The following is a 24,129-nucleotide window of genomic DNA, read 5'->3' as shown; positions in this document are numbered from 1 at the left end:
GAAGAGGGCAAAAGAAGCAAGGCACAAGATAAGTTTGAACAGACAGAGAGGGACTATTTCTACATGACTTTATGGCCATGCAAAAATATTTGGGGCTTTATCATAATCGTGGGAAGTCTTTTAAACCAGTTCGTAGCCTCAGATATGAAGTTAGAATAGTTCACTCTGACTATGGTATGGAGAAAATTGCAGAGAATGACATGAATGAATGCAGAAAATTGTTTAGAAGGTTTCTGTTTATGTGAGATTATGATAGTGTGGAGTAAGATAATAGAGGTAGGAGAAGGTATTCAGAACAAGAGAAACTGGAGAGGTAAAAATAAAAAAAACCTAGAGATGGATTGGAACAGAGGGATGAGGGAGTTCAGGATAAATCCAAGTGACAATCTTGTGCAGCTGGTTGCCTGAATAGATAGATGAATGTGTTATATTATTAGCAATAACAATATTGCCAACTTTATTGATCAGTTACCATGGGCCAACCTCTCTTCTGAGTCTTTTACATAGACTGATTCATCCAATTCTCACAACAGTCCTGGAAACAGGTTTATTAGTATAGTTACTCCAACTTTACAGGGATTAAGTAAGAGGCCTGAGGCTACGGAGCTAGAGAAATCAGTCTCTGCACAAACACATTATGTCTGATGGGGGATGGAGGAGGTGGAGAGAGAAGCAGACAGAAAGAGTGAGTGTGGCTGAATAGATAGCAAGAAGTGAGATTGTAGGGTACAAGGGAGGTTTTGTTTTCATTTTGTTTTTAAATAAAAACAAATAAAACATAAGTCTGTGAGAAGCATCTACTTGAGAGAAAAGCCAAATATAGAAAAAGAGTGGGGTAGTTAATATTAGTAAGATTTTGTAATAACAGCTACTTAGAAGAGGGAGAGAATGGGAGCAGACAGTAGGAGGTTGTGGAAGTTTCTGTCTGATGGCTTTTTTTTTTCTGTAAAATAGGAGCCCACGTCAGTTGCTAAAAGTAGGTGAGAGTAAGAGCATGAGGCTAGTAGAAGAGGTTTGAGATAGTAATGGAAGAGTGGGAGAGCCAATTGGCCAGAGAAACAGGACTGCCAGGCATTGTTGAGGAATGGCTTGGGGTTAGTTATCATAAATTATGGTGCAACCGGTCTGTACTGTTGTGTGATTTTCTCTAGCAATGCATATCTGTTTAGGTACAGGCACAGTAATGAGAGTAATAACTAGGTTTATTCAATGTTATAGCAAAGGAGTTTGTTATACAGACAAGTGTGTTATTGAAGTGAAAGTGGTAATGGGGCTGATGAAAAGGAGATAAATTGAAGACTAAGGAAGGAGAATTGACAGGATTTGATAATTATGTAGATGCAGGAGATAAGAGAAAGGGTTAAGGATAACACTGCATTTCTGTTTGGGAAATGATTGATCAGTATCTGTAGTGGGTTGAATCGTATCCCTCCAAAATTCATATCCACCCCCAAAACCTCAGAATGTGACCTTATTTAGAAAGAGGGTCTTTGCAGGTGTAATTATGTAAAGATGGAGGTAAGATTATAGTGGATTAGAGGGGGCCCTAAATCCAATGAAAGTGTGCTGATAGGAGACAGAAAAGGCCACACACAGACACAGAGAAGAAGGCTATGTGATGATAGAAGCAGAGATTGGAGTGATGTATCTACAAGCCAAGGGATGCCAGTGATTGCCAACAGCACCAAAAGCTGGGAGAGAGGCACAGGATCTCCAGAAAGAGCCAGCCCTGTCATACCTTATTTCAAACTTGGGGCATCCTGAAATGTGAAAGAATAAACTTATGTTGTTGTTTTAAGCCACCACGTTTGTGGTAATTTTTTTTTTTTGACAGAGTCTCACTCTGTTGCCCATGCTGGAGTGCAGTGGCACAATCTCGGCTCACTGCAACCTCTGCCTCCTGGGTTCAAGCAATTCTCCTGCCTCAGCCTCCTGAGCAGCTGGGATTGCAGGCGCCAGCCACCATGCCCGGCTAATTTTTATATTTTTAGTAGAGACAAGGTTTCACCATGTTGGCCAGGTTCGTCTCGAACTCCTGACTTCAAGTGATCCTCCCGCCTTGGCCTCCCAAAGTGCTGGGATTACAGGCGTGAGCCACCGTGCCCAGCCTTGTGCTAATTTTTTGTAACAGCCCTAGGAAGTTTATACATTACTATTTACTGAAGTAAGGAATACAGGAAAAGGAGGAGCAGGTCTGGGAAAGATAATGAGATAAGATTAGGATATTTTGCATAATTAAGGTCCTTATTCTTCTCGGGTGTTCCTAACATAGTCTCCTAATCATTATTCCTTCCAAACCATCCTTTGGTTGCCTGATCATTCTAGAGTGATTCATACTAGTGGTTTGTATTTAAAAAGACAAACCTAATTCTGTCATTCTTCTTTCTGTATCTCTCTAAAATTCAAATTCTTTGGCCCGGTGATCAGTGTGCCTGTCTGTCTCTCCTTATCTCTTATCACCCCTTCTTAGCTGCTTTTGCCTCAATAAAACTGATCTATTTGCAGTTCTGTAAATAGGCCTTGCTCTTTTATGGCACCTGTACTTTCACATAGGCTTTGGTGTATAATGCCTTCTCTATACCCTTTGTCTACAGTATCAAACACACACTCATCTTTCAAGACTCCACTTACGTCATTGTCTCAGAGAGGGCTTTCCTTACTCCACTCCTCTCTGCTCTTTATAGGCAGAGGCTGCCCTAAGCCCTTGAACTTATTTGTACTTTTAGATTTGTTACATTGTACTATAATTAGCGTTTACCACATCTTTCTACCTCTAGAATGTAAGCTGTTTGAAGGTCAGAACCATGTTTTAGGGGAAATAGTTTGAACCATCAAATGCTTTGTGAAGCTGATTTAGAAGGCAGCATTATCTTTTTGTGAACTTATTTTGGTTTCTAGGAGCTTTTTGTTTGTTTTTTGTATTCTTTGCTTCCATGCTCCCAAACCACATTGCTGAGTACTTCCTTTGGTATAGATATCAGATTGGTTTATATAAGGATTACAGAATTGGTATTTGGCCCCTTTTTAAAATTGGACATTTGGGGCCGGGTGTGGTGGTTCACGCCTGTAATCCCAGCACTTTGGGAGACTGAGGTGGGCAGATCACCTGAGGTCAGGAGTTTGAGATCAGCCTGGCTAACATGGGGAAACCCCATCTCTACTAAATATACAAAATTAGCTGGGTGTGGTGGCGCATGCCTGTAATCCCAGCTACTCGGGAGGCTGAGGCAGGAGAATCGCTTGAACCTGGGAGGTGGAGGTTGCATTGAGCTGGGATCATGCCACTGCACTCCAGCCTGGGCAACGGCGTGAGACTCCTTCTCAAAAAACAAAACAAAACAAAACAAAACAAAACAAAATTTGGAACTGATGTGTTAAATACCAATCATTTTGATCTAGTTATTCCCTGTTTCACCTGTCAGGTGTTTTCATATCTCACCTTTCCCTTTCCACTCCCTGTATTAGCAGATCTCCATTCAAAGCTCAGAGAACTTCTTTCTGACTACCTCCCCTTACCTCTTTTTGAATTGGTACATCACACGTCTTTCAAATAGTGCTTACCACACGTTGCATCACAATTGGAAATGTAATCTTTTTATCTTTTTTTTTTTTTTTTTTTTTTGAGACAGGGTCCCACTCTGTTGCCCAGGCTGGAGTGTAGTGACACGATCATGGCTTACTGCAGCCTCGACCTCCCGGGCTCAAGTGATCCTCTGACCTCAGCCTCCTGAGTAGCTGGGACTACAGCCATATACCACCACGCCCAGCTAATTCTTGGTAATTTTTGTAGAGACAGGGTCTCACTATGTTGCCCAGGCTGGTCTCGATCTCCTAAGCTCAAGCAATCCACCCGCCTTGGGCTCCCAAAGTGCTGGGATTAAGTTGTGAGCCACCATGCCCAGCCTGGAAATACATTCTTATCTTTTCCTAATAGAAAACTTCTAGAATCCATGTCTTATTCATCTTTTTGTCCCCAGATTGTGGTACACAGTGAGTACTCAATGTTTATTTGAATGAATGAATTTTTTGAAACGCATCTGGTGTTCTGCTATAAATCTTCAAAGATTACCCACAATCATTCTGTAATATAAGCTTCATGAGAGCTAGGATGGTATCTGTCTTGTTGACTCTATATTCATGTATACAGTGCCTGCTCCATTGCTGAAAGACTGATCTTCAGGTTCATTTATTCCTCTGGTATGTAATTCACAAGCATATAATTTGTGAGTTAATATTTCATGGTATCTTATTTTGGGAAAAAATTGAAACTGATTGAAAATAACTTTAAACATCATGAAATAAGAATATTGAGTATGGATTTAGTACTTGTGATATTCCTAAAATATTGAGTAGGTTGATTCTCCTCCCCACCCCATCTCCAGTTTGATCATGGAGCAACTGAGTGCTTTGAAATTAAAATGGAAACATTTTTTATTGATTGGATCTTCATTTGAGGTTTACGGCAAATTACTTGTCAGATTTATCAACTGGTTTCCATTTCACATCCCCCAACTCAGTTCATTCATGTTGTCTCTCATATTACACATAGCTGCCTTTTAAAAAAAAAACATTAGGGCTGGGCGCAGTGGCTCACGCCTGTAATCCCAACACTTTGGGAAGCTGAGGTGGGCGTTATCACCTGAGGTCAAGAGTTCAAGACCAGCCTGACCAACATGGTGAAACCCCATCTCTACTAAAAATAAAATATTTGCCAGGAATGGTGGTACATGCCTGTAATCCCAGCTCCTGGGGAGGCTGAGGCAGGAGAATCACTTGAACCCGGGAGGTGGAGGTTGCAGTGAGCCGAGATTGCACCATTGCACTCCAGCCTGGGCAACAAGAGTGAAACTCCATCTCAACAAAATAAATAAATAAAAAATAAGAAAACATAAATTCATCAATTGCTTTTTGAATAAAATTCAAGCTCTTAATTTTGGCAGACAGGCTCTGCATGATCTGACATTTGGGTATCCCTCCTATGATGTATCTTACCATTCTTTCCTCTTACTCTATCTCAAGCTTGTCTAACCCGCAGCCTGTGGGCTGCATGTGGCCCAGAACAGCTTTGGATGCAGCCCAACACAAATTCGTACACTTTCTTAAAACATTATGAGATTTTTTTGCGTGATTTGTTTTTTCTTTTTAATTTTAGCTCACAGCTATCATTAGTGTTAGTGTATTTTGTGCGTGGCCCAAGACAATTCTCCCAGTGTGGCCCAGGGAAGCCAAAAGATTGCCTACCCCTACTCTATATGGTGGAGCCACATGAGCCTTTTTTCAGAAGGTCTAAGTCAAGGTTCTCAGACTTTTTGGTTTCTGGAGTCCTTTGCATTCTTACAAATTTTGAGAACCCCAAAGAGCTCTTTTTTTTTTTAATGTGGGTTATATGTATAAATATATAAAAATATAAAATATAAAAAAAGTATAAATGTAGAATTTATTGTATTAGAAATTAAACTGAGAAAACTTTATTACATCATTTAAAAATAACTACAATAAACTCATTACATGTTAATATAAATGATTTTAAATTAAAATGTAATTATATTTTCTAAAACCAAAAAATGTTTTAGAAGAATAGCATTGTTTTATATTTTTTCAAACCTTTAAATTCCTGGCTTAATAGAGGATAACTCACGCCTGTAATCCTTGCACTTTGGGAGGCTGAGGCGGGCAGATCACTTGAGGTCAGGAGTTCAAAACCAGTCTGGCCAACATGGTGAAACCCCATCTCTACTAAAAATACAAAAATTAGCTGGGCGTGGTGGCGGGCAGTGGTAATCCCAGCTACTCAGGAGGCTGAGGCAGGAGAATCTCTTGAACCTGGGACGTGGAGGTTGCAGTGAGCCAAGATCATGCCACTACACTCCAGCCTGGCCTGGGTGACAGAGTGAGACAATGTCTCAAAAAAAAAAAGTTTGCTGAGGCCTCCCCAGCCATGCTTTCTGTACAGCTTGTGGAACCGTGAGGCATTTAAACCTCTTTTGTTTATAATAATAATATTTATAAATTACCCAGTCCCAGGTATTTCTTTATAGCAGTGAAGACTAATACAGAGGCCAAGGTGAGAGCATCACTTTAGACTAGGAGTTCAAGACTAGCCTGAGCAACATAGTGAGACCTATTTTTAAATAAATACAAAAAATACAAAAAAATTTAAAAATGACCATGTGCTTATGTAGTCCTAGCTACCCAGGAGGCTGAGGTGGGAGGATTATTTCTACTCAGGAGTTCCAAGTCCCCAGTGAGCTGTGATCATGCCACTGCAGCCCAGCTTGGACAACACAGTGAGACCTTGTCTCAAAAAAAAAAAAGTAAAACAAAACATCAACAGTGACAAAAACTACAAGTGCATAGCAGCAAAGACTACAATGACTACTGATGGAGCTTGGTGCCACTGCATTGACTTGTACTAAAATCCCAACATTTTACTCATCATTACTTTTGTACCTTCAGTATGTCAACATAGTGAAAAAGACAAATAATGTTTTATTATAATGAAAATAGTTTTGACCTTTCAGATCCCCTGAAAATGTCCCATAGACCTTGGGACCTGCTGCTTTAGTAATAATCAAAACTCTTCCCAGAAGAATAGCCATACACTTCCACTCTGCTAATTCTCTTAGTTTCTTTCATACAGCTCATTACAATTTGTAGTTTTATATATATATATAAATTTATTTATTTATTTATTACTGTTTGGGGGGTTGGTTTTTTTAAGAAATGGGGGTTTTGCTGTGTTGCCCAGACTGGCCTCAAACTCTGGGCTCAAGTGATCCTCCTGCCTTAGCTTCTCTAGTAGTTATGTATGCCTGGTTTACTGGCTTTTTAATGACCATGGTGAAGTTACCTAACCTCTATGTACTTCAGTTGTCATATCTGGATAAAAAGTGCGTCTCTCAGAGTATATTATGAGGATTACATTTGCTTGTCTAGACTGTAGAATGTTATTTTTTGGGGGAGAACTAATGGCAGATGAACTTAGTGGTCATTATGGTTGGATGGAAAAAAAATAGAGTGAACAGATACAGCTTTCTCACAGAACTTTCATAGACCAGATAACTGCTTCAAGAGCTGACCTGAAGTAAGGAGGAGTATTATTTCCTATCTTGAGGGATGGCAGAGATTTTCAATTTGACCTTTGAATATATTTTCTGTTTGGTCATAGTCTTGTGTTTTAGAGTAAGACTCATTAGATTTCTGTGATTTTGACCACCTCAGGCACATAGAAGAAAGAAAAAATAGAGGGAGATTTTTTATAATAAAGTGAATGAGTTAAATGATATTTTGAAGGTGTACAAGAAAAGGAATGGATCAAAATGGCTTTCATTAGTTACATTTTCTTCTTGACTTTTGTCACAAGAGAAAAGGTCTTATGAAGAATGGTTCTGCCTCTGTTGTCTGTCAGGTAGCTTAGGATCTTTTATGTAAGAATCTCTGTTCCTAGCACTTTGGGAGGCTGAGGCGGGCGGATCACGAGGTCAGGAGATCGAGACCATCCTGGCTAACACAGTGAAACCCCGTCTCTACTAAAAATACAAAAAATTAGCTGGGAGTGGTGGTGGGCACCTGTAGTCCCAGCTAACTTGGGAGGCTGAGGCAAGAGAATGGCGTGAACCTGGGAGGTGGAGCTTGCAGTGAGCCAAGATCACGCCACTGCACTCCAGCTTGGGTGACACAGCGAGACTCCATCTCAAAAAAAAAAAAAAAAAAAAAAAGAATCTCTGTGATGCATTCTTTTAAAAGTTTAGTTCCAGGAAAAAAGACAGTTTTGCCAGATAAAATGGAATTGCCTCCTCTAATGAGAAAAGGGGATTTGCATAATCTGTAAAGATTCTCTTATTAATTGGAAGCTCAATTTACTATATTAAATTTAATATAGTACTCAATAACTAATACATTAGTATTTTTTATAGTGTTATCCTGCCATCTCTATATGATTTTTATTTTTTACATTTTTGTTTTTTTGACTATATGAGGTTTAAAGCCTTTTGAAAAGTAGATGGATGTCTATGATAAATTTGGGATATTGACACTAAATGGTATAATTGCTAGAGATTTACATTCCAATCTGTACTTTCATCCTAAATTAACATTTTAAAACATAAAGAGAATACAGATATTTAAAAGGTGAAGTGATTACTTTTTGTACACAAACTTTAAAACAAAAGGTGTAGAAGCAATTATAGGTAGATGTGACATAATATTTACACCTTTATCAGCAGCTTTTTGTGCTATAGTTCATTATAGTTAAATTGCCATGTGGAGTCAACTATTTTCTTCATAATTCCTAAACAACTTGGGGAATGTGTGCTTTGTTTGCTTGCATATCTGTACCTGCATCTGTTCCTGTTTGCATGCCTACAGGTGTGTCTGTGTATTCATACCTGTGTATGCTCACAAGTACCAGTGCCTGTCTTTGTGCATGTGTATGGGTATGGGGTGTGTGTATGGGGTTCAGAATCTGCTGTTTAGTTAAAGCTTTGTCTAGTTCTGATATTTGGGGAATATGCTGTCATTTGGAGCTCATGGACTACATCTTCCCCATTTTTTCTATTATTGCCAGAATTACAAAGGATGTCAGGAGGAGGTCTGAGTTTTAATACCATGCAATTTGTAATTTGGGGCATCTCACATAATCTCTTAGGTCTCAGTTTCTTCATGTGTAAAATAAAGATGTTTTAGGTTGTTAGCTTGGACCTTCTAAAACTTTATCAAAAGAGCTCTATGGCATGCTAAAAGTAATGATTGAGCTGCATCCAATTTTCATGCTGTGCAACTTGATGTTCACAAATTTCTTGGCTTAGTTTGCTCCTCCTTCAAAACATGAGGCTTTTGAGGGGTGCTTAAGGTAAAATAATTGGAGTATTTATCCATAAGACAGTTAAAAAAATAAAAACCTGCTTATATTTAAAATGAAAATTGTGTAGTTGTTGTGTATTCTTAGAAAATAATACAGGTAGAGGATTAAAGTTTAGGCAAGTGGATTAATAGGAAACTGTGAATAAAAAAATTACTTTGATTTTGGTGCCTGACCTCCAGAGAGTGAAGGAGGCTTAGAATTAAGTTGATCACCAGTAGCCAGTATTTAAACCAGTTATGCCTCTTATGTTAATTTGTTTTTGTGTCACTATAAAGAAATATCAAATGGGGATAATTTATAAAAATTTTAGTTGACTCACAGTTCTGCAGGCTGTACAGGCAGCATGATGCCAGCATCTTCTGGTGAGGTCCTCAGTGAGCCTACAGTCATAGTGGAAGGCGAAGGCAGGAGCAGATGGATCACATGCAAGTAAAGAAGCAAGAGTAAGGTGGGGGAGGTCACAGACTTTCCAACAACCAGATCTCGTATGAACTGAGTGAGAATTCAGTTACCACCAAGGGGATGGTGCTAAACCATTCATGAGGAATTTGCCCCATGATCCATCCAGTCACTTCTCACCAGGCCCCATCTCTAACATTGGGAATCACATTTCAACATGAGATTTGGAGGGGACGGGCATCCAAACTATATCACCTGTGTAGTGAAGCCTCCATAAAAACCTAAAAGGACAGGGTTAGGAGAGCTTCTGGATAGATGAACACATGGAAGTTCATGGAGGCTGGTGCCCCCAGGGAAGGCATGGAGGCTCTGTGTCCCTTACCCCAGTCCTTATTCTGTGCATCTCTTTATCAGTATCCTTTGTAACATCCTTCATAATAAAATGGTAAATGTGCTTCCATGAGTTCTGTGAGCTGCTGCAGCAAACTAATTGAACCTAAAAAGGGAAATGTGGGAACCCCAACTTGAAGCCATTCAGTCAGAAGTTCTGGAAGCATAGACTTGCAACTAGTGTCTGAAAAGAATGGGGCAGTCTTGTAGGACAGAGCCCTCAATCTGTGGGATCTGACAGTATCTCCAGGTAGATAGTGTCAAAATTGAATTGGAGGACACCCAACTGATGTCTGCTGCAAAATTGATTGCTTGTTTGTTGGTGGGGTGAAATCCCCCACATTTGGTCACAGAAGTTTCTGTGATGATTATTGTGGAATGAGAGAATAGGAAAAACACTTTGAGGTTGTGGTTGTTTTCCCACTAATCCAAAGAAACCTTTCTGATAAATCTATTCCTGGGAATGAGCTGAAATCATTGGAGTAGCTTTGATTAAAGGTCTGGTACTGAGAATAGAATATATTTAATAGCAGAACAAAGACTATTGGAGTTAAAGATGATGGAATAATATTGAATGCTATATGTGCTGCAATATAGATTTTGTTTTCAATTCTCAAAATGGGAGAAGAGTATTCTGAAAATGTGAAATAAGCTTGATGATCACTCATAGTTATTAGCTGGGAATAGAAGGATAACACTTTGTTAAATGTTTGAGAAGAGTGAGGGAAGTGAGATGTCAACTAGCTAATTTCATGAGTTCTCATAGAAGGGATAATACCTTAAAGATAATACCTTAAAATACAGTCAAAAGAGGAAATTAGGATATAATGTCACAGTAATCATTAGAGCAAAGATACAGAGCTTCCAGAAGATTAAAAAAAGGTACATTTTTAAAGCCACCAAAGAGAGCGATGACGACTTTACATGTGTATTATGTTATATACAAATATAACATGACAAATAGGATGAAAGGCTAAAAACAAAAGATCAGACAAAATTATACTGAGTAAATTGCAAACAAAATGAGACAGGAGTTGCAAACTTGATACCAGATAAGGTAGAACTCATGCCAAAAAAGCATTTAGTGTTGGGGAGGAAACTATTAACGTAATGAGCTGCATTAAAATTAAGCACTCTGTTCATTGAAATACACATTTATAAAGTGAAAAGAAGCCACAGGATGGGAGAAGGTATTTGTAACTCACACCCAATAAAGGAGTTCATATTGATGCAGGATATTTTCTTGACACCTTCATGGTACTCACGACAGGGGTGCCCTGTTTACTCAGCCCACCCTGCTCAACTCCTGGCAGGTGGGAGCACACGAGCAAACGAGTATGAGAACTGGCTGGCTGCTTTGGCACTGGCAGGAGCAAACTTGGTTCACTTGGGTCTGCTGCACTCCACCCCTCATGGGAGGGAGTGTGTAGGCAAGCAGGTGTAGGAACTGGCCAGCTGCTTTAGTACCTGCAGGAGCAAACTCCATGCAGGCCCTGTGGCAGCATCCAGGTCTGGGTGCCTGCGATCCCAAGGCTCCAGAGGGCATGTTACAAGGTTCTCTTAGCTCTGCTGGACAGAAGTGTATTATCAGCTCACTGCACCTTTTGCCTTTTTGGGGGCAGCTGCCCTCCACCAGTAAGGGCAGAGGGCCAGTGTGATAGCCTTTTTGGGTACCTGCACTTGGTGGGTCCCGAATTCTTGTCTGGTGCCCACGAAGAATGAGGTAATGTGAATTCATGCTGAGAGCCACTTTCATTCACTCAATAAAATTCTCTGCATTGACCATCCTTCATCCATGAATTGAAGGATGGTGAATGCAGAGAATTTTATTGAGTGATGAAAGTGGCTCTCAGCAGAGAGGGGAGCTGGAAAGGGGATGGGAAGGGCATGTCACTCTCCCCTGAAGTCAAGTTGCCTCTCTCCGATGTCCAGCTACCATCTCTGAAGTCATGATGCCTGTGCCCGAAGTCCAGCTGCTTCTCCTCTCTACTGGCTGAGTCTGGGGTCTTTACTGGCACAGGATGGGGGGCAGGGCAGGCCATAGGTAGTTTTAGAAAAAACAACATTTGATTGGTAAAAAGACCTTTTTCAGAAAGAACCAGTCGGGAGAGAGTGGGCACACAGGGATGGAAGTTCTCACTTTGGGCTTCAGCTTTTAGGCTTGAAGATGGGGTTTTGCCGAGGACACACCCCCATCTGCCTAGAATTTCTCTGCCTCCTGCCTCTATCAATGTGTGTGTGTGTGTGTGTGTGTGTGTGTGTGTGTGTAGGGGGGGAGGCAGAGGGAGGGAGGGAGAGAGTGAGAGAGAGAGAGAGAACTTACAAACCACCAAGAAAAATATGGACAACTCTCTAGAAAAATAGGCAAGAGACTAACACAGGTACTTCACAAAAGAGGGTATTCAAATGGTCAATAAACATATGAAAAGGCAGTTAAACCTTATTAGCAATGAGGAAATTTTAATTAAAACCACAACAATATACCACTGCATCCCTACCAGAATTGCTAAAATGAAAAATACTGACAATGCCAAGTGAAGGCAAGGATATGATGCTCTCAAAGTTCTTATACATGGTGGGTATGTCAGTTGCTACAATCACTTGGAAAAGTGACCTTTTCTCCTGAAGTCTAACGTACATACTCTGTAACCCAGAAGCTTCCCTCCTAGATATATACTCAAGAGAAATATATGCAATATGTATCAAAAGATAGATTCATAGCAACATCATTTTAATAGTCAGAAATTCAAAACAACACAAATGCCCATCCAAAGTAGAATGAAATAGAATGAGAAGTAGAATTAAGTTGAGGGAAAGTAGAATGAATGAAAAATAGTAATGTTATATATTTATTTAGTGAATACAATATTGCTGAAAATGAAGTGCAGCTATGCAAAACAAGCTATGAACAAATCTTATAAGCATACTCAAACATTCAAAAATAGGCAAAACTATTTATGGTGTTAGAAGTCAGTGTATACTCTGATGGTTACCTTTGTGGATGAAGGTGGAGGTAGTGATTGGAGCGGGTCAAAAGAAGGATCCTGGGGTGCTAGCACTGCCCTTTTTTTTTTTTTCAAGATCTGAGTGATAGTTAAATAGGTATTTTTTGTAATGTGTTACTTGTGTACTTCCCTGATATGTTTATATATGAATTAAAAAGTTATTTAAAAAAAAGGAATGAAGAAGTTTTATTAATAGGGAGTGATCTCCAGGAAGTAAAAAAGCAAGAGGCAGCCCACTATTTATATTATGCCACATCTTGGTTAATTTATAGCATGCTACTTCTTTTCTTCTACCTCTTGGGCCATCCCAGACCTTGATACTCTGTTCTCCCTGTAACTCATAGGATATGAATTCACATCTCTGTGCTCCTAGTGTTAATCCAGATCCTACCTTTTCACTTATTTATTTTCTTTATTTCCTACATTCTGTGGAATATTTCCTGTTGATTATATCATGGTTGACACAAAATCAGCATGCCTAAAACTTAAATTTATCTTTTTCTTTCTCTCATGTCTATATAAGCTGTCATCCTAATCTTACTGTTTCCATCAATGGCTTCATTATTCTCAAAACTGGAAATACTTGCATTATTCTTGACCTAATCTTCCATTGCACATCCACTGTACTAGATACACTGTAACTAAGTATTGCTAACGATTTCTTTTCAGCATTGTAAAATCCTTTATTTTCATTTACAAAGTTACCATGATAACATGTCATTTGATAAGCTACAAATAGGACGTTGCTACTGTGTCCTTGTCTTCATTTCCTTAATAGTGTTGCTAAAATGCCATTGAGAGAAAATGCTTCAAAATTATGTAGTAACTATGGTTGTACAACTTCATGAATATACTAAAAACCACTATATTATTTACTTTAAAAGAGTGAATTTTATGATATTGAATTATATCTCAATAAAGGTGTTATTAAAAATAAAAACAAAAAATGTCACTTAGGGCATAGAATGATTTCCTGTTAGATTGAATATCAGTTTTAGTTTATCATCCAAAGCCATTCATTGTATTCAGCTTCATTTCTCCTATCGGGTCATATCCAGTCTGTCAGTATACCATCCCTTGAGGTAGTTTAGTCTCCTCGATAATAACATTTTCCTAGTCTAATAAGTTCTTTTGTATATAAGATTAATAATCTTATGAGAATAGTCAAAGCCATGGATATTATCACTGTTTTAAACTGAGGGAACTTGAGACAGAATGTTTTATTGAGAATCACAGGGCTAGTATTAGAATTTATTTCAACTTTACAGATACTTAAATTTGAGCATCTTTTATGCACTAGGCACTGGTTGGTGCAGTTGGGATATAGAGACATATCCCAATTATCTGATCCCTATCTATGCTCAGAGAGGCTTTTAGTCTCTCTGCCACTTTGCCTTTGCTAGTCTTCCCATGTCTATATTTCATTACTGCTTCTATTTTGTCCATGTTGTTGTTTTCCTTCAAAGCCCTTCTAAACTCACTTTCAGTATGAATCTTTTTCTTACTTCCCTTCTTTAAGCCTTCCTTTAGTTTGAATTCCTTGGGACTGGGTCAGTTCTCTCTCTGTATATAACTTGCCACATTATTTTAGTTGGTCCACATGTGTATTTATCAACCCAGTTGATATGAAAGCTTGTCAAGGGCATAAATTATGATCTATGATTTTTAAAAATATTATCTACAATTTTTTTTCTCATTGTGCTGGCATAGTTCTGGGCCCTTAGATGCTTAGCAAAATTATGTTGAGTTGAATAGGAAACAAAGGCATGTCTTGATCTTTAATCTACTGGCTAGCTGGGAAAACCAAAAACACAAGGGACACATCCTGTGCACAATTGTAAAACAATGTATCAATTGTACAAAAATGAAAACTTCAGACTGAATTGGTAAGTGGTCCTGATGAGTTGCTCTGCTATGCTAAAGCTGAAGACTTACAGTTAACTCTGATCTTTAGGCTTACCATAGTCTCAGAAGTTGATACCTTAGCACCTAAAATAACTTTACTAGATAATGATTGGGATGATTTGGGCTAGTATTCGTTGGATTGAAGACAGAACACAACTCACTTACTGACATCTTCTCTAATACTGTTAATGTTAGTGATCCACCACAGCACACATTGTCTCTACCACATGGTGAACCACCTCATAGTTTTGTGTTTTCATAAGCTTTGAAGATAAAGGTGAAACAGTAAAAAGGTTTCTTAAAGTAAGCAAAGTAAAATGGAAGTAGCATTCTGTGTTATTAGAAGATACAGCTTATAGTGGATTTCTCTTGCTACCGAAATATCTGACTTATACTATTGATTTTCTGTCAGTTTAGATGGATGTCTTGTATCTTGGATAATATTATTCTAATGTTTGTGTATTTATTTCAAAGGTAGTCTCTCTGTTGTCATTCTTGAATAACAATTATTAGTCAAAAGAAAGAAAATTAAGCATCCTTAATTTCTTCTATTGTTTTCTTTATAAGGCACAGTTGGTGGATCTGAAATCTGAACTGACAGAAACCCAAGCAGAGAAAGTTGTTTTGGAGAAAGAAGTACATGATCAGCTTTTACAGCTGCACTCTATTCAGCTGCAGCTTCATGCTAAAACTGGTCAAAGTGCTGACTCTGGTACCATTAAGGCAAAATTGGTAAGTAGTTTAGAGAGTGACATGCCCTTGCATGTATTTTACAGGGTGTACAGGACAATTTTGAATGAGACTTTTAAATTATAAAATATATGTGCTTATTGTGGGAAATTTAGAAAATATAAGAAATATAAAGTTTATGATCATTATGATAATCTACAATCTCATCACCTATAGATAATCAGTGATATCAACAATCAACTGATAGAATTTTTCCTATTTAAAATATATGTATAAATATGTTTAAAAGATATTTGTGATTATAACATATAAGATTTTTTTTTGCCCTACTGTATCAGTTGGATTAAATTCAGTTGCATATAACAGAAATCCCAAGTAACATTGGGATTATTCTTGAACAGTACTTATTTTTCTCTGAAATGAAATCTGAGACCGGCAGTCTAGAGTTGATACGGCAGCTCCACAAATATTAGAGATCCAGATTCCTTCCATCACTGTGCTCTGCCATTTTTAGCTTATGGTTTCCATCCTCAGGATTTCTTCATGTCTGCATTTCAGGCAGGAAGAAGGATTAATCTAAGGAAAGGGCAAAAAGATGCTTCTCCATGATGTTAGCCTTCTTTAAAGAACTTATTATTAAATCTTTCTCAGTAATTTTTGCCAGCATTTCATTGACCATCCCCAGCTGCATGTCAGTCTCCTATTGGCCATATGGCCACTTCCAGTAAAACTGGAGTCTGTTAATAAGGAAGAAGTAAGAAATGGAATTGGGTACCAACCAGTAGCACATTCTTTTCTTTTGCTCTTAATATATTGTAAGCATTTTTCCTGCCACTGTGTACCACATATGTTTTGAGTGTGTAAGAGATAGCAGATATTTTGTTCCTATATGGGACACAGCAATAAATAAGACAGCTATTGCTTGGCAGAGGCAGGACATGAAATGATGTTGATGATATAATGAGAGTAATACATTTATAAGTTTTATTTGTTTTCAGTTAATTTCATTTGGTTAATTAGTTCCTAGTACTGATGTGTTAAAATTCATGAAAATAATTTTAAGTTAAACTCTTAAGTTTTCTAACTCTGTGAATCTGTGTTAGAAGGGTTTTATTTAACTGAAATAAAAGCTCATAACTGCTTCTTCGAGCTATTTGACATTAACATTCAGAAACAATCTAAATTTTCTCTAGAAAAGAATTTACCTGAAGTTTTAACATTAGAATTTGAAAGAGTATGATGAAAAGAACACTGTACCAGTTATGTTGACTAATTTTGATAAAACAAAAAGTTTTAATCTAATGCTATTACAGTTACTATTGTTTATAGATTGCAAATATATTTGTTCTAATGAACTTTACCCAAATGATATCCAACATGTGGGATTTTTCCTTATAATGACTATACCACTAAATAAAATCATTTGTTTGATCTTTTTCTAATTATAAAACTTTTTTCTTATATCTGAAGTCTGGCCCCTCTGTGGAGGAGCTGGTAAGTATATTGTTTCTGTTTTGCTTTAATATGTCACGCTGAAGTGTTCTTAGTGTTTTATTTGCATATTATATGTTGTCACTCATTGTATTTGAAAATAGCATTAATAATGGCAATTTTTTAATGTTCCAGTACCTGAAAAGTTCAGTGGATGGCCCATTGCTCTTTTCTCACTGCATGTTGTTAAACATTTTTCTTTTGTTAGTGATTTATAGCCATTATTTGCAGAGCCTGTCAATTTTTGACAATTTTTGAGCCTTGTAGCTTGCTCATACCTCTACTTCAAAGAGCAATTGGTTTTCCCACTTCAGGGTATTGAAGATATATCAAGCAGGCTTAGTTTTTAACCCCCTTAAGTTTCTGTTTGAAATTATTTCCAGAAAAGAATGTGCATGTTGGTTTCTTCTTCATCTACTGCGTTACAACTTTTCAAGAGTCTTGAGAATAATCGTATGGCCTTTGAAACAATTGAATTTTGAAATGCTTTAGCAGAAGTTATTTTAGAAAATAACAATACATTTTTAATATTTTTCTCATTACCCCAACCTAATCAAGTTCCAATTTGTCTTATGGCTTTACCTCTTTTGAAGATATAATCTTTGGTATCTAAATGTAAAATGAACATCTTGGGTGTTACCTAGTAACAAACAGGTTAACTAAGAACCAAGAAAATTTTTTTCTGGAAATCTAGAAATGGTTAACTTCAGTTTCCTTCATCTTATTCTTGCTTACCTCTGTTAATTTCGGGCCCAAGAGTTTGTCAGATTCATTAGGGATTTGAATCATTAAAACCCCAGTGAGTGGTAGCTTAGTATGTCTCCCACATTTCATTAATGTAGTATAAATAGCTCATTAAAGTAATTGAAAGTAGGTAATCATCAACATAAAGTTTATTTAGCCCATAAGCCAAAGAAATCTTGGTCTAGGAGTGCTCTTTCAAAAGTTGCATCAACTTTAACATGTCATAAGAAAGATTTTTGTTTGTATCTCCAAACTGGTTTCTTTTGAAACAGATACTTGCCCTTTTAGGACATAGGTTCTGAAATAAGAGTTTAATAATTCCAAAATTATGTTAAAAGGAGGATTCTAGATTGAGTTTTTCGAATCCTTTAAAACCAGTATCTAGAAATTACGTTCTAATCTTTTTTTTCCCAGAAATTGAGTCTGCTAATCTTTCATCTGTTTGTCATATATATAACAAATATTTTTAATCAAAGAAGTGATAAATATATCTAGCATTTAGTAGTTGTCATTAATTTTAGCTTGTATGTGTGTGTGTATATGTAAATATATTTTTTTTAGGATTATCGTATTTATTGACTAGTATTCAAATATATCTATTTTGATGTTGTTCAAAACAGTAGACCAAAGGAGGCACATTAAATTAGTACCAAAATATATTCCATGAATTGCTGAAAATTTGCTTAAATTTGTTTCTTAGCTTCTCAATATCCAGAATAAAAAGGGAAATAATTATGTAAAATAATCAGTGCCCATACAATAGAAACAATACTATTCATCATTTCCTCAAGAGAAACAATTTCTCTGGTGCTAAGGTAGGTTTTTATTTACGTCCTCACAAAAGGGACAAAGGGGGTATAGGGAATAATGTCTTCCACATATTGTGAACAAATGTAACCATGTTTTCATAGGATTTGTGGATTCTGTAAAAGCAGTTCTGCTCAGGATAAATGCAAGTTTTCAGTGTTTACGTGGTTTTTTTGATCTATAAATAACAGTTAAAATGTCTATTGGGGTCCTTATTTAACTCTCAAAAGGGTTTTAGAAGTAAATAGCAGATTCAACTATCCATTGAAGCCACTTTTACTAATATGTGATAACATGAGCTTAGAGTAGACTACTTTTCTTACTATACTCCATATCAGGGTAACCCATGGCGTGCAATTATTTTATCTAGAAGTAGTTCCAAGATGTTATGGTACTAGTTCAAAAGAACTACATCCAGATCTTTGTGTTCCATTTTATAGAGATGATACATTGTTGAACTGTAGGCTTTTGTGCATTTTCAGGAACATGGTCTAGTGCTAAAGAGTTTTTATTTTCATTAAATTATATGCTTTTAAAAATTACATAGGAAAGAGAGCTTGAGGCAAACAAAAAAGAAAAAATGAAAGAAGCACAACTTGAAGCTGAAGTGAAATTGTTGAGAAAAGAGAATGAAGCCCTTCGTAGACATATAGCTGTTCTCCAGGCTGAAGTATATGGGGCGAGACTAGCTGCCAAGTACTTGGATAAGGAACTGGCAGGAAGGTGTGTAAAAAATGGGTATTATTGTACTCTTAAGTGACAAATTGGATATTTAATGAGGTTGACTCTTACTTCTTTCTTTTTTTATTTTTTATTTTTTTGAGATGGAGTCTTGCTCTGTTGCCCAGGCTGGAGTGCAGTGGCATGATCTCTGCTCACTGCAACCTCTGCCTCCTGGGTTCAAGCGATTCTCCTACCTCAGCCTCCTGAGTAGCTGGGATTACAGGTGCCTGCCACCACGGCCAGCTAAATTTTGTATTTTTAGTAGAGATGGGGTTTCACCATGTTGGCCAGGCTGGTCTCAAACTCCTGACCTTGTGATCCATCCACCTTGGCCTCCCAAAGTGCTGGGATTACAGGTGTGAGCCACCGCACCTGGCCTACTCTTTTTTCTTATGGTAAATGAAGCATTAATCTTTTTCCTCAGAATTATTTTACAGTTGGTTTTAACTTACTGTTGTTAAATTAATACTGACAGCATTATGTATCGCAGATCTAGTTATCCATACTAAATATGTTTAGTTTACACACACAAACACTGATAGTATCTTACTGTGAAATGCTAACAACTCTGTAGAGCAGCACTTTTCAACTATTTTGTGCCTTGAGACCAGTACAGCCGATATTCACATGCATAGCAGAACTTCCATAAGGAATTCTTTTTATGATCACTGAAACCCAGTCTTTCTTGCCCTTCAAAAAAACGTGTTGGTATTTAGTTAATGACAATGATTTTATCATAATCATACACAGAATTCTGCTGTATTTATTAAGTAAATTATTAACAAACTTTGGTGACTTATTAGTACTAAATCATTTTGTGCATATTCTTTTAATGTCACATTAAAAACATGGAACAAAGAAAAAATAATTTATATCATCTTGAAGTACAAATTTTCTAGTAACTTTTTTTTTTTTTTAAATTTTGTGAGATGGGGTCTCACTCTGTCGCTCAGGATGGAGTGCAGTGGTGCAACGTTGGCTCACTGCAGCGTCCACCTTTCAGGCTCAAGTGATCCTCCCACCTCAGCCTTCCAAGTAGCTGAGACCACAGGCATGCCACCATGCCTGGTTAATTGTTAAGGTTTTGCCTTGTTGCCCTGGCTGGTTCTAGTAACTTTTAACCACATTTAAAGTAATCATTTTGTGAAAAGAAACTCTAATTAGAAGAAATATTTTTGTCCATTTATCTCATCTAAAAGCTAACATTTAATAGTATCTGAGTTCAGTGACTTTGCATGCAAGACATAGATTGACATTAATCTCATAAATTTTTTTTTAGATTTATTTGAATTAAGTATATGACTAAAGGAGTTCACATTAATTCCTTTAAAAATTTTTTTTACTGGTTTTTCCCTTGAGGATACCTGTTCTTTTCAGAGTTTTCATATTTTTTTTATATCTGAGAGACATCAAGAAGTTCGTGAGTATTAGTTTTATCACTAATTTGAGATTCATGCAAAAGCTACTTATGTTCACTAATTTTCCTGAATTCTCACTGTAGTGAATATAATGAAAAATCAATGTACTCTTTTCCCAATATGAAGGGTCCAACAGATACAATTGCTAGGACGAGATATGAAGGGACCTGCTCATGATAAGCTTTGGAACCAATTAGAAGCTGAAATACATTTGCATCGTCACAAAACTGTGATCCGAGCCTGCAGAGGACGTAATGACTTGAAACGACCAATGCAAGCACCACCAGGCCATGTATGTTTGCTTTGCTGCTGCTTCCCACCCAGCCTCTTCTTTCTTTCTTTAATCACAGTTGCTTTCCATTCTTTCCTTTATTCTAGTATTGTTTGAAACCTTTATTTAAAAGTGAAAATGGGATTCAACTTATTCAAAGTAGATGAAGTTTCAACACCCATAGAAATTTTAGTAGCTCTTCACAGACTTACTAATGCCCTGAGAGTGCTGCAGACAGTGAGCCATTGTTAGCAAATGCATATTGCTATAATGTTGGATCATATTTCCAGTTTTTCCTGGATCATGATTGGGCATGCTTGAATTTGTTTTAATCTTAGCTTAGAGTGTGTGGTCATATTGATAATTTGGCAGATATTTTGGGGTAGTTCTTTAAGGGAACTTTTAGTAACTGAATCCAAATGTAGATTCTGAACTAACATTTACACCTGTTTGGTCTTGGATTAAGATAGAATTTGAGATCTGTAGCCAGTTGTCTGCTTCTGTAGCCACCATTATATAAAAGCTTCTATCTGGATAAATCTTTATTGAATTTTATCATAACAGCTGCTTGATAATATAGACCTTAATATATGAAAGCATGTCTCCCAAGGGTTCACATATCTTAGTACCAGATAATGTATGGCCTTAAATAGTAAAATAGTTTGTTGGCTCTGCAAAGATTTTTGTAAGAAGAATTGGTATGTAAATAGAGTTGGTGGAAGAGAAGTGGGGATAGCGATAAGCACTTATGCCATTGTTTTCTAGGGCACTGGTGGTTCCCATTAACTTCTAGGTCCAGTAGATTTGGGAAATGGAGCGGTTAGGAGGAAGACAAAGTAGTTTGTATCAGATGTGTCTGAGTGATAAAAGCATGCTTGTTAAATTAGCTAAATATGAGGTTGGGGTTTTAGGTAGTGGCTGGATTATAGAAATTATTTTATACTAAATAGAGGAATTTTAACTTTAACCTGATAATCATGGAAGTTTTAAATAAAATGGCAGACTTCATAAAATTTACATTTTTTAATAGTTATTTTGGTATAGTGAAGAGGACCAAGTTGGAGTCAAGGAGATATATTAGAAAGATACTATGGTCATCCAAGGAGAAAGTGATGAGGTCAGGAGAAGTGGCATTTGAGAAGAAGGATAGATTTGAGAGGATTATAATCAGGAGGGCTTGATTGGTGACTAACTGCTTTTGGTTAAATAGTGAAAAAGAAGAGTCTGGGCTTTTAGTTTGAGCAACTGAGTGAGATCTGGCATTCACTGGGAAGGGAAATAGAAGAAAAGGAAGGATTTGGGGAAAAGATGATGAGATCAGTTTTAGACAAGTAGTGTTTGAGGTGACAATGGGGTATCCAAGATACATCCAACTGGACATATGACTCTGGATTTCAGAAGAGAAATCTGTTTTGAAGAAATATTAGGGAAACTATCCTTCTATTATACTTGAAACCTTGGAACTCATTAAGCCTGTTCCAAGTATATATGTATATATAAAGTATATATGTAGTAAAAAGAATAGGAGGCCAAGGATAGAAACTTATGGAGTGGGAGAAGGAAAAGGATCACTAAAGGAAGGAGCCTGGGATGGAGCTGTCAGATACAGGCCATCTAGGAAAGTAGTGTAATAAAAACTAACAGAGAGAGTGGGTTTCAAGGAGGGGTTGATGAACAGTATCAACTTTCTGCAAGTTTGAAGTAGGATAGTGACAAAAAGTGTTAATTGTGTGTAACAATATTGATTACTGGTGACCACAGAAAAGAAAATTCCAGTTGTGCATGTAGGGGCAAAACTCTAATTACAGAGACCAGAGGACTGAATGTGAGTGGCAAGGAAGTAGATATGATGAGGATGAACTTCGTGTAGAGGTTAAGGAAAGGGGGAGGATGGTAGTTGCTAAGGAAGATAGTGAAGGATTGAAAGGTTTTTTGTTTTGTTTTGCATTTGCACATGATCAGTATTTTAAAACTGGAAGAGGCTTGTGATTCATTTATCTGCTGAGTAGGAAAACAGCTTAGTAGAGACAGAAAGAGTAAGGGTACCAGAGAAAAGATTATTAGTGGATCAAGGCCCTTTATTTAAGAGGTAGACTCCAGAGCACCAAGGAATGTATAAGTAATTAATGGTCCAATTGGAAATTTGTTTTTCAACTCTACAACTCAGCTAAAATGAATGTATATCTTAAAGATATCCAGTGAAGATAGACACTTTTATTTTTTGAGGATATTTGTTCCTCAATTAATTCCTGGAAATCATTTCTTTTATAATGCCCTACAATTTAAAAAGAGATGTATCAATATTTTAAACATTATTGGCAAAAGGGTGAGAATATCATCTATAAATTTTGCATCAACAGAATAGCTATTTTCATTTTTCCATTTTATCTGTTACTTTCTTAACCCTATACTGTTTATCCATTCCAGGAAGTTAATACAGATTTCTAAAAGCAAGTTATATAGTATGAGTTTACTCTATTTGGTATGCTATTTAAATGATACTACTTTTTCTTCTTTTTTCCTCCCAATAAGGATCAAGATTCCCTAAAGAAAAGCCAAGGTGTTGGTCCAATTAGAAAAGTTCTCCTCCTTAAGGAAGATCATGAAGGCCTTGGCATTTCAATTACAGTAAGAAGTAGTACTTCCAGTATCATTTTCTACAGTTATCTAGTATAATCATGCTCCTTTGTTGGACATCACTGGGGAACAGAATATTCTGGATATATTTTTTAAATAACTAAAATTTATCCCCATGGGGATAAATGTTTGCTTTTGTGTAAATATTTTTTTAAGAAATAAATATTCCTAGCAACTATTAAGTGTACCTTTAGTAAGCATAGTTTAACATTTTTATTATGATTCACTTAATAGTTCTGTGCCATATACTGTGATGCCTCTAGGAGCCCTTGGGAATAGACGTGGCTGTTTTCTTCTATGTTAAATGGCTTCAGATTGTATTGTTCTCTCTCGGAGTACGTGTATCTTTCTCTTGCCTCATTTATTAGCTGTCAGATTTCACTGGCTCTTGGGTCCAAATGTTATATATTCTTTTTTTTAAATTCGATGCCTTTAGGAGTCATTTTGTTGTCATCTCAGTGCTTTAATGAATAAGGTGGCTTTAATTTTCATTTGGTAATACTTAGGCACTGAGCAAGATCATTTGTTTTTTTAGTATTGCTTAATGTAGAAATGTTTCTTATAATAAAAAGCTCATCTAATCTATATTTCTTGAATACTTACCTTTTTTTTTTTTATGTGCTGCCTTCAAAGAGCATACATTTTAGCAGGACAAATAAGACACACACACACACCCCTACACACACGCAACAATGATATAAGCTAGAGAGTGATAGGTACCAAATACTGCATTTTTTCAATTCTACATTGCATATATTTTCATATTTTAACTTCTCTGAAATTGAA

At 36.9% G+C, this 24,129-nt stretch overlaps 1 protein-coding gene across 2 annotated transcripts in view; it reads left to right on the top strand.

Annotated features, from left to right (window-relative positions):
• Positions 1 to 24,129, top strand: part of GOPC (golgi associated PDZ and coiled-coil motif containing) — a 42,243-nt gene that overhangs the window by 8,318 nt on the left and 9,796 nt on the right. Inside the window, exons 2-6 of one of the 2 annotated variants that reach the window (NM_020399.4) lie at positions 15,130 to 15,294; positions 16,723 to 16,746; positions 18,842 to 19,017; positions 20,562 to 20,727; positions 23,239 to 23,334. In NM_020399.4, the coding sequence (NP_065132.1) occupies positions 15,130 to 15,294; positions 16,723 to 16,746; positions 18,842 to 19,017; positions 20,562 to 20,727; positions 23,239 to 23,334 (627 nt within the window). The remainder of the gene's footprint in view (positions 1 to 15,129; positions 15,295 to 16,722; positions 16,747 to 18,841; positions 19,018 to 20,561; positions 20,728 to 23,238; positions 23,335 to 24,129) is intronic. The other variant, NM_001017408.3, reaches the window with a different exon arrangement.

Source organism: Homo sapiens, chromosome 6 (genome assembly GCF_000001405.40).
Source record: "Homo sapiens chromosome 6, GRCh38.p14 Primary Assembly".
Taxonomy (NCBI): Eukaryota; Metazoa; Chordata; class Mammalia; order Primates; family Hominidae; genus Homo; species Homo sapiens.
This window is presented reverse-complemented; position numbering and strand designations above follow the sequence as displayed.